Source organism: Homo sapiens, chromosome 20, assembly GCF_000001405.40.
Source record: "Homo sapiens chromosome 20, GRCh38.p14 Primary Assembly".
Classification (NCBI taxonomy): Eukaryota; Metazoa; Chordata; class Mammalia; order Primates; family Hominidae; genus Homo; species Homo sapiens.
This window is the reverse complement of record NC_000020.11, coordinates 730,377-741,863: the sequence shown is the minus strand read 5'-3', so window position 1 is coordinate 741,863 and position 11,487 is coordinate 730,377. Positions and strand designations below refer to the sequence as shown.

Below are 11,487 nucleotides of genomic sequence, written 5' to 3'. Positions count from 1 at the left end.
ACAATCATGGCAGAAGGCGAAGGGGAGGCAGGCACGTTCTACATGGCTGGAGCGGGGTAGGAGGAGGTGCCACACACTTTTAAACAAGCAGATCTCGTAAGAATCCATTCACTATCACAAGAACAGCAAGGGGGATGTTTGCCCCCAAGATCCAATCACCTCCCACCAGGCCCCTTTTCCAACACTGGGGATTACAACCCCACCTGAGATTTGGGAGGGGAAACAAATCCAAACTATATCAGTGTTTTGTTTGTTTGTTTGTTTTCAGATGGAGTCTTGCTCTGTCGCCCAGGCTGGAGTGCAGATGTGCAATCTTGGCTCACTGCAACCTCCGCCTCCTGGGTTCAAGCGATTCTCCCATCTCAGCCTCCCGAGTAGCTGGGATTATGGGTTCATGTCACCACACCTGGCTAATTTTTTGTATTTTTAGTAGAGACAAGGTTGCACCATGTTGGCTAGGCTGGTCTCAAACTCCTGACCTCTAGTGATCCATCCACCTTGGCCTCCCAAAGTGTTGGGATTACAGGATGAGTCATTGTGCCCAGCCCACATCAGTGTCTTTAAAGAGAATTTTCCCACCAATGGGCTTGTCGGAGCCTCCAGCAATCTGAAGAGCTGATTTCGATTCTTTTTTTTTTTTTTTTTTTGAGATGGAGTCTCGCTCTGTCGCCCAGGCTGGAGTGCAGTGGCATGATCTCGGCTCACTGCAAACTCTGCCTCCCAGGTTCAAGTGATTCTTCTGCCTCAGCCTCCCGAGTATCTGGGATTACAGATGCGTGCCACCACACCTGGCTAATTTTTGTATTTTTACTACAGACGGGGTTTCACCATATTGGACAGGCTGGCCTGGAACTCCTGACCTCGTGATCCGCCCGCCTCAGCCTCCCAAAGTTCTGTGATTATAGGCATGAACCACTGTGCCTGGCTCTGATTCTTGTCTTACAGATACAGAAGCTGAAGTGAGCTTTATGCAAACTGAGCTTTATGCATTTGTACAACAGTCACTGAGCATATACCCTGAGTGGGGCCCTGGATGGAAAGAACCAGCACTAAGGATGCAAAGTTAACCTGGATCAGGTTCTAGCCTGCCTAACGGAGCTTGCGGGCTGACAACAGGTACACAAGCATGCACGCGTGGCTCTATGGAGCCTCCATTCAGGTGGCAAGTATGCCAGTCAAGAGTGTGGGTTCTCGTCCCGGACTTCCTGCCTTCAAATTCAGGCTGTACCACTCACTGGCTATTGAAACCACCTTTGCAAAAATTGTAACTGAGGAAATTATGACAATAGCCCTTTCCTGAAAAGATCCACTTCTTGCCCGGGGACCAGTCTGCCTTTGTAAGACTAACAAATTAGCTACAAGATTAGAAATCAAGGTTTAGGGGCTGTGCAGCCTCTGACAGCAAGGGTCTGAACCTCCCCAAGTTGTTCCTGGGGACAGTGTCACTATTGCAAAACCTAAGATCAGTGCTTGAGATATTTTGCAGATCTTGCACTACAGCAGCTGAGGGATCAGCTGACACCACCCGGATCGGTAACCTAGCTTAACCAGTTCTGCGATCCTACCCGGGAACAAGGTGAACGCCTTCGGGCTGGGTGGTACACTATTTGACCTTGGGCTAGTTACTTAACCATTCAGTGCCTCAGTTTCCTCATCTGTAAAGAGAAGAGATAATAATATACCTACCTCATAACATTCTTAGGAGGATTATCTGAATTAATGAATTAATGCGTGAGCAAAGGGCTGCGAGCAGGCCTAATACATAATGAAAGCTCAATAAATGTTAGCTGTTTTTATTATGTAACTTCGGAAATGCAGCTATGTGCGCTCAGAAAGAGAGAGAGAAGGGAGAATGATGTACACAATGTGGGCGATTCTGCCTGGACATGATCCCAGCTGTGAGAGAGATGTGGGGGTGTGGATCCACAGCTCGGAATCCCACACACCCCTGAGAGAGAACAGAACCTAAAATTACAGTTCGCAAATGCATGCAATCACCACCATATACTGCTGTTCTTTATGGTCCGTGCATTTATTGCTGCAAAGGACTATATTTAGAAAACTGCCCATATTATACTTTATGAGTGACTTAAAGGATTTTTAGGAGTTCTTTAAAAGTTTTTGTTTATTTTTATAATTTTCTCCTTGCGTTAGAACCTAACACTCACATTAAATGCTCTCCCACAGTAAATATATTTCGAAATGACAAGTGCTAGAATAAATGGGTGAGGATTTTCCAAAGGCTGTTTTGCTGATAGTTGGGGATAGGGAAGGCAAAGCTAGACCCCCAACCTCTGGACTCTGAGTCCAGTGTTCTTTCTTCTGTAATCAGGACCCTGGGGGGACAACCCTGACATACTTCCAAGGACCCTGGACTTCAGCTCCTGGCTCCCTGCTCAGAAGGGAGGGGTGGATCGTCTAGGGCCCAAGGCAGAACCTGAACTGAGTTCCCATTCTAAGAGGGTGTTTGGAGTGAGGTGAAAGGGAGACAGGGATTCTAACCCCAGCTTCACAGCTGGCTCTCTCCGTGTGAGCTCCCTAAGCCTCAGCACCCTAAGCGTGTACAGAGGTAAATATTCTGCGCACAGCAGCTGCCCAAGGCCATATTCCCTTCCCTCCGCCCCGCTGTGCACATTGGCTGCAATGTAGCTTTAGGCCAGTAGGTGGTGGTGCCGCCCAAGAAGCAGGAAAAAAGCAGGGAAAGAAAGGGATGTGCCTGGATGGTGGATCCACTGAGGTCCTGCTGATCCCAGGCCAGGAAGCGGGGACATTGAGAGCCGAGATAGGAGTCCAGGCCACTTGAGTGCTTGCCTATGCCCCACATATGAAGGCACGCCAAGAGGCTCACATACGTGCATAACCAAGGACCAACCTTGCGCCTGAAGGAGGCCTTTCACATATGAGCTCCTCGAATCCGCACACTTGCCCTATGGAGAGTGGCAGTATGGTCCCATTTTACAAGTGAGAAAACTGGACCAAGAGAGGCAAAGTGACCTGCACTAGGTCACACAGCAAGTCCATGGCAGAGATGGATTTGATCCACTCCTGTAATAATATTAACAGCCAACTCCCATGTAATTCCTGCATGTGCTGATACTGTCCTAAGCATGTCTGTACCTATGCACTTATTCAGTCCTCATGACAGCCCTACGAGGTAGGTATGAGTAGTATTTTTACTCTCACGTTACAGAGGAGGAAATGGAGGCACTGAGAGGTCAAGCAACTTGCCCAAGGTCACACAGTCAGATCTGCGATTTTTTTTTTTTTTTTTTTTTTTTTGAGACGGAGTTTCGCTCTTGTTGCTCAGGCTGGAGTGCAATGGCGTGGTCTCGGCTCACTGCAACCTCCACCTCCTGGGTTCAAGCGATTCTCCTGCCTCAGCCTCCCGAGTAGCTGGGATTACAGGCAGGCGCCACCACGCCCGGCTAATTTTGTACTTTTAGTAGAGACGGGATTTCTCCATGTTGGTCAGGCTAGTCTCGAACTCCCTGCCTCAGGTGATCCGCCCACCTCAGCCTCTCAAAGTGCTGGGATTACAGGTGTGAGTCACAGCACTCTGCCTGATTTTTTTGTTTTGTTTTGTTTTTTGTTTTTGTTTTTTAATAGGCATCCTAATAGGTGTGAAGCGGTATCTCGTGCTTGCAATTCTGATTTGCATCTCCCTAATGATTACTGACGCTGAGCATCTTTTCCTCTGTTTATTGGCCACTTGTACATCTTTGGAGAAATGTCTATTCAAATCCTTTGCTCATTTTTTCATTTGGTTGTTTTTGGTTGTCGTTTTTCCTCTCTTTGCAATTAAATGACCTGCACACTGAGGCAAATTACTCATTCGGGCCCTGCGTTCCTTCTCTCGTGCTGCATCCAGGCCTGGACCCTGCCCTACATGCTGGGGATGTGGTGGAGATCAAAACCCAAAGATTCCTGCCCCATGGGGTGTCCTCTCCAGTGCGGCAACCAGACACTAGCGTGATGTCAGATGACACAGCAGGTTTTGGGGGTTTTTTTGTTTGGTTTTCCTTTTTTGTTTTTGTTTTTGTTTTGTTTTGTTTTTGAGACAGAGTTTTGCTCTTGTTGCCCAGGCTGGAGTGCAATGGCGCGATCTCGGCTCACTGCAACCTCCGCCTCCCGGGTTCAAGCAATTCTCCTGCTTCAGCCTCCCGAGTAGCTGGGATTACAGGGGTGAGCCACCACACCCAGCTAATTATTATTATTATTATTATTATTATTATTATTATTTTGTATTTTTTAGTAGAGACGGGGTTTTACCACTTTGGCCATGCTGGTCTCGAACTCCTGACCTCAAGTGATCCACCCACCTCGGCCTCCCGAAGTGCTGGGATTACAGGCATAAGGCACTGCACCCAGCCTGGTTTTATATCAAGGGGCATCGACAGGCAGCCTCAGGCCCCCTCCAGCCCTTGTGCCTGGCATGTGAGCCCCTCACAGCAGGTTTGAAAAGTCTAGAATTTCCAGCATTTTAAAAAAGTTTGGAGAGTTAACATCAAAATCTAGATACATAGCTTCTCTTGAAAAGTTGAAAGCTGAAACCACTCAGGCTTGTTTTCCACCTCAAAGCCATCACCCGGATCAAGGCACCAGCTTAAAAGGGCTGCTTCACCCAAGATATTAATAACATCTCTCCTGTGGGCAACCACTCCAAAGTCTGATCTTGCAGAGTACAGAGGCATGACCTCCCTGTCTCAGGCTGTGACATGTCCTAAGGGCTGGCCCAGCTCCTGATGGGACTGGTCAAGGCCTCTATTGCAACTGCCCGAGCCTGCTTCCCTGGCTCCTCCAAGATCCTAAGAGCACTACCTGGAAAACCACCCACATGCAGATTTCCATCTCAGGAGCTGCTTCCCGGGACCTTGACCTTCAAGATGGGACATGAGCTCACTGGTCCCCACAGCCTCCTCCTGGCCCACCTGAGTTTTTTTTTGAGTTTTCACCTCTGGTTTTGTCCTGGACAGGACATAACCCCATAGTGATTGCAATAAGAGGAGCTTACCCTTCCAAGCCAGGAGCCATGTGCTAGGCAGTATTCTCAGATATGTTCATTTCATTCTCACAATAACCCTATGATTGTTACATACCTATTAAAATATCTAATTTTTTTTTTTTTTTGAGACAGAGTTTCACTCTTGATGCCCAGGCTGGAGGGCTGGAGTGCAATGGTGTGATCTCAGCTCACTGCAACCTCTGCCTCCCAGGTTCAAGCAATTCTCCTGCCTCAACCTCCCAAGTATCTGGTTCTCCCTGTTGGTCAAGCTCGTCTCGAACTCCTGACCTCAAGTGATCCGCCCACCTCTGCCTCCCAAAGTGCTGGGATTACAGGCATAAGCCACAGCGCCTGGCCTAAAATATCTAAATTTTTAAAAACCTGACAATACTAAGTGCTGGAGAGAATGCAAAATGGTATAGCTACACTGGAAAACAGTTTGTCAGTTTCTTTCTGTTTTTTGGGGTTTTTTTTAGGCAGGGTCTCACTTTGTCACCCAGGCTAGAGTGCATTGGCACAATCTCACCTCACTGCAACCTCCGCCTCCCACCCTCAAGTGATCCTCCTACCCCAGCCTCCCAAGTACCTGGGACTACAGGCACTCACCATCACGCCCAACTAATTTTTGTACTTTTAGTGGAGATCGGGTTTTGCCATGTTGCCCAGGCTGGTCTCAGACTCCTGAGCTCCAGCAATCCTCCAACCTCGGCCTCCCAAAGTGCTGGGATTACAGGCATGAGCCACATCAGATTCTTTGTAGTTTTGTTCTTTGGTTTTTTGGGTTTTTTTAGACAGAGTCTTACTCTGTTGCCCAGGCTGGAGTGCAGTGGCATGATCTCGGCTCACTACAACCTCCACCTACTGGGTTCAAGGGATTCTCCTGCCTCAGCCTCCCAAGTAGCTGGCACTATAGGTGCATGCCACCATGCCCGGGTAATAATTTCTGATAAAATTATAAATACACTTACAATATGACCCAGTAATTCTACTCCAGGGTATCTACTCTGGAGAAATGACAGTGTATGTCCACACAGAGATCTATACACACATGTTCATAGCAGCATTATTTATAATGCTCCCAATTAGGAGTGACCCAAATGCCTTTCAACTGGTGAATGGATAAGCTGTGGTGTATCCAGCAGTGAAATACTACTCAGCATCCAAAAGGAACAGACTTCTGATGCATGCAACAGCATGGATGCATCTCAACTGTGTTATGCTGAGTGAAAGAAGCCAAACTCACAAAAGCTTCATACTGCAGGATTCTGTCTATGTAACATCCTTGCAAAGGCAAAACTTATACAGATAGAAAACAAGGCATGGTGGTTGCTAGGTATATTTGTTTGTAAAGACTACTGTAAAAAAGTACCACACACTGAGAGGCTTAAAACAACAGAAGTGTATTCTCTTTCAGTTCTGAAGCCAGGCATTTGAAATCAAGGTGTTGGCAGAGCCACTCTACCTCTGGAGGCTCTAGAGCAGAATCCATTCCTTGCCCCTTCTGGTTCTGGGAGCCTCCTGGTGTTCTTTGCTTTGGGCCACATCACTCCAACCTCTGCCTCTTAATTACATCTGCAAAGATCCTTTATCCAAATAAGGTAACATTTACACAGTTCAAGGATTAGAATCACTAATTTTTTTATTTTTTTTATTTTTTTGAGACGGAGCCTTGCTGTTGCCCAGGCTGGAGTGCAGTCATGTGATCTCGGATCACTGCAACTTCCAGCTCCTGGGTTCAAGCAATTCTCCTGCCTCAGCCTCCGGAGTAGCTGGGATTATAGGCGTGCATCACCACACCTGGCTCATTTTTGTATTTTTAGTAGAGATGGGTTTTTGTCATGTTGGCTAGGCTGGTCTCAAACTCCTGGCCTCAAGTGATCCACCCACCTTGGCGTCCCAAAATGCTGGGATTATAGGTATGAGCCACCCTGCCCGGCCTAGAGTCACTAACTCTAGATGACCTTTATTCATGCTACCATATCAGGTAACACAGGGAAGGGTATTGACTACAAGGGGCATGAGGCAACATTTTTCAGCGATGGAAATGTTCTATATATTAATTGTGGTGGTGGTTACATAACTTACAAACTTGTCAAAACCTACGGAACTACTGAATACGGTGGTGTGAGCCAGCCACTCAGAAGGCCAAGGCTGGAGAACTGCATGTGCCCAGGAGTTCAAGACCAGCCTGGGCAATATAGCAAGACTCTGTCTCTAGGGAAGACACACACACACACACACACACACACACCTATAAACTATGCATTATACCCCCAAGTTACCCTAGTTGTACGTGGTAGAACCGGGGCTGAATGAAGGATGAATGAGGCCGGCTGGTACCAGGGTCTGTTCTCAATGTTATCAATGCACTATTATTTTGGGGGGAAATGAGCTGGGGTGGGAGTTGTGGGTTCCACTGCAAAAGAAAGTTTCAGAATGACAGGACTAGACGGACTCTCCCACAGCGGTGACATGTCACGATTCTGCAGTTCTTTGGCTTTTAGAATTTCTGCTTCAGAATTCCGTAAGGCTGAAGATGCTGCACACTTTGGAGCCAAGAGGGCAGTTGTCTGGGATGCTCTGGCTGGGTGGGGGAGGGGAGAGGACGATGGAGGTGGATGAAAATAATGGGAGGGGGGTCTGACCCCTCTCCCCACAGAGCACTCACACCCTGTCCCCAGGGACAAGGCCTCTGTCCCCTCCATTCACTCACCCCAGCTGATGCCACACACCCCCACCAGAGGCCTCCCCACCTCCCCTTATTGTCTGAAGGGCTCAGATGGAGGGGCTGCCCATTAACCCCTTCCTGGCCTCATTGATTCACTCTGCAGCTGTCACACCAGCGGCCTCAGGCCGGAGCAGGAGAGGACTTGGTAGTTAATCACAATTAGAGAGCAGCATGTCAGCTGCGAGGCTGGCCTCCTTCATCGGCTGCCAGCCGGCCTAGGCCGAGGGACAGCCTGCAGCAGCCATGCAGCAGGTTCTGAGACCTGCAGAGGCAAAGAGAGGATAGCCCCTTCCCGGTTCATTCCTGGAGACTTCCTCCAAAATCCCAGTCAGGTATCCTCCATCGTCAGAGCTGCATCCAGTAGCTTTCACGCCCACCAAGTGCCCCCTCACCAGCACCTCTGCCTGGTCCTCACATGCTGGGCTTCTCCTCTCCACTGAAATGCCTCCTCCTCCAAGAGGGCTTCCCTGACCACCCTGGCTAATGTGGCACCGTTCCCAGTCCCTCTCTATCCCACGCCCTTCTCACCTGTTTTGTTTTGTTTTGTTTTGTTTTGTTTTTCCAAAGCACTTGCCACTAGCTGGAATTGTCTTAGGTATTAACTGGTTTTGTGTGTGTATTCATTTCCTGGGACTACAGTTAACAACCACAGGCCAGGTGCGGTAGCTCATGCCTGTGATCTCAGCACTTTGGGAGGCCAAGACAGGCGGATCAGTTGAGACCAGGAGTTCAAAACCAGCCTGGCCAACCCAGTGGAACCACGTCTCTATTGAAAATACAAAAATTAGCCAGGTGTGGTGGCAGGTGCCTGTAATCCCAGCTACTCCAGAGCCTGAGGCAGGAGAATCACTTGAACTCAGAAGGTGGAAGTCACACTGAGCCAAGATCACACCATTGCACTCCAGCCTGGGTGACAGAGTGAGACTCTGTCTCAAAAATAAATAAATAAATAAAAAATTTAAAAAAAGAACAAATAACCACAAACCAGGTAGGTTAAGACAACTGAAATGTATTCTCACAGTGCTGGAGGCTAAAAGTCTGAAATCAAGGTGCTGGCAAGGCCATGCTCTCTCTGAAAGCCCTAAGGGAGGACACTTCCTCGCTTCTCCCCAGCTTTTATGACTGCAAGCCTCCTTGGCCTTCTTTGGCTTGTGGATGCATCACTCCCATCTTCGCCTCTGTGGTCACGTGGTGTTCTCCTCTGTCTGTTTCCCTCTTTAAGGGCACCAGTCATTGGAGTAGCCCACTCTAATCCAGTATTACCTCACCCTGACCTGACTACATCTGCCTAAACCCTGTTTCCAAATAAGGTCACAATCACAGGTCCCAGGGTTAGAGCTGGGATGTATCTTTTTGGCAGACACAATTCTCCCACAACAGTGTGTTTTCTCTGTATCTTCTAAGAAACCAGGGCTCTGTTGGTTCTTGTCATGGAATGCATTCTTTATGGAGCCATATTTAACTTAAAGACAGCACATTTTATCAAAGTTTCTACCCCAGGCCAGATCTGGGCCTGGGAAGAGGAGACGCTGCTGGGAGTCTCAGGGCAGGAGAAGCCTGCTGTCTGAAGCAGAAACAAGGAAGCAGGTTCCCCCATAAAAGTGGCTCCCACACATCTCCAGGACTCTGGGGTCCAGCTCACAGAGAGCTCTGGGAAACACGTGTTGATCTGATAGATGAGGAAGGGGGAAGGCAAAGTGCAGCAGGTCCAGTGAGACCCGAGGGACCAACTCAGGCAGGGGGCTGGGGAGAATTCACCGAGGAGCTGAGCACTCAGGGAATGGCACATATGCACTTAGGCCAACCAGAGGGAGCCAGGCACTGAGCTGTCTCTGCAGGGAACAGAAAAGTGGTTGGAGAGGATGCTGCCTGAGTGGGGCCACATAAGGCCAGGACAGCTCAGAGTCTGAACTTCGTCCAGATTGCCGGGAAGAGCCATTAGGAGATTTAAAACATGAATGTGGTGATGTCACGTGTGCATCTAACTGATCTTTTCAGTTTTAGTTTTTAATTAGGTAGTACATTCAACTGGTTTAAGATTCAACAGGTATAACAGGGTATGGCCCAAAGTGTCCCTTTTCCCCAGCCCCCAGCTACCCAGTTCCTCTCCCACCGACAATCACTATTACAAGTCTCTTCTAGACAGTCAATGCAGATACAAGCAAATTTCCTTGCTTTTTAAACATACCGGATTCCATAATTTAAACATTGTTCTGCACCCTGCTTTTTAAAAATATCAAGGTATAATTTACATGCAGTGAAATGCACCTGTGTAATCAACACCCCAATCATGATACAGAACATTTCCAGCATCCCAAGAAATTCTTTTATGCTCCTTCCCAGTCCATCCCTCCACCCCAGAGGCAGCCACTGCTCTGCTTTCTGTCATCATAGATTGGTCTGTTTTGCCTCTTCTAGAATTTCATATAAACGGCATCATTACAACATGCTATTTTTTGTATCCAGCTTGTTTTCATTCAGCATGTTTTGAGATTCATCCATGTGGTTGCAGACATTGGATCACTCATTTAAACTCCAGTGTAATATTTGACTCACCAGTTTATCCATTCATTGGCTGTTCGATCTTGGGTCACTTCCAATTGTTGTCTATCACATGTTAAACTCTGTTGAACATTTGCATAGAAGTCCTTGTGGAGCTATATATACATATATATTTTTATTTTGAGCAAAAACCTAGAGGTGAACTTGCTGGGTCATAGGAGAGATGTATGTTTAACTCTATAAGAAACTGCCAAACTGTTTTCCAAAGTGAAACATCTTAAATACCATTTCATATCACTGCATTGAGAGTTTCCTCATGTGTGTTTGTGGCCATCATTCTCCATTGTATAAATGTCCCATAATTTGTTTAACCAGTCCCCTATTACAGGACACTTAGGTTGTTTCCAGTCTTTTGCTGTCACAATGCTGCAGTGAATAACCTTGTAAACGTGTCAAATGTCACATGGGTTAAGCAAACCTATAGGACACACTGCTAGACATGGAACTCCTGAGCATGCATAGACTGATGGTCATTTCCCAATATCCAGACTGCGCTTTTTCTGATACTTTTTTTTTTGAGACAGAGTTCTGCTCTGTCACCCAGGCTGGAGTGCAGTGGCGTGATCTCAGCTCACTGCAACCTGTGCCTCCCAAATTCAAGCAATTTTCCTGCCTCAGCCTCCTGAGCAGCTGGGACTACAGGCACATGCCACCACACCCGGCTAATTTTTGTATTTTTAGTAGAGACGGGGTTTTTCCATGTTACCCAGGCTGGTCTCGAACTCCTGACCTCAGGTGATCCACTAGCCTCGGCCTCCCAAAGTGCTGGGATTACAGGTATGAGCCACCACGCCTGGCCATGGACTGAACTTTTTCTTTGAAATAAGAGCCTCAATTTTCATCTGGACACATGGTGCCTAGAACACAGATCATATTTCTCAGCCTCCTTTGTAGCTTAGTGTAGTGATGTGATCAAGTTTAGCCAATGGAACATCAACAAGAAGATTGTATGTGACTTCCGAAAGAGTCTTTAAGGGAACCTCCCTCCCTCCTTGGCTCCTTTCTCCTTTCTAATGACTAAAAGACTCTCCATCTGGGGGCTGGGCGCGGTGGCTCACACCTGTAACCCCAGCACTTTGGGAGGCCGAGGTGGGTGGATCACAAGGTCAGGAGATCGAGACCATCCTGGCTAACACAGTGAAACCCCATCTCTACTAAAAATACAAAAAATTAGCCAGGTGTGGTGGCACGTGCC

At 47.7% G+C, this 11,487-nt stretch overlaps 1 annotated feature.

The window, feature by feature from the left end:
• Positions 7,421-7,921: an enhancer, noted in NCBI's record as "H3K4me1 hESC enhancer chr20:714587-715087 (GRCh37/hg19 assembly coordinates)". NCBI's record gives its function as "activates a minimal SCP1, AML or CMV promoter by ChIP-STARR-seq in naive H9 embryonic stem cells {active_cell/tissue: H9 hESC(naive)}" and the evidence as "EXISTENCE:reporter gene assay evidence [ECO:0000049][PMID:30033119]".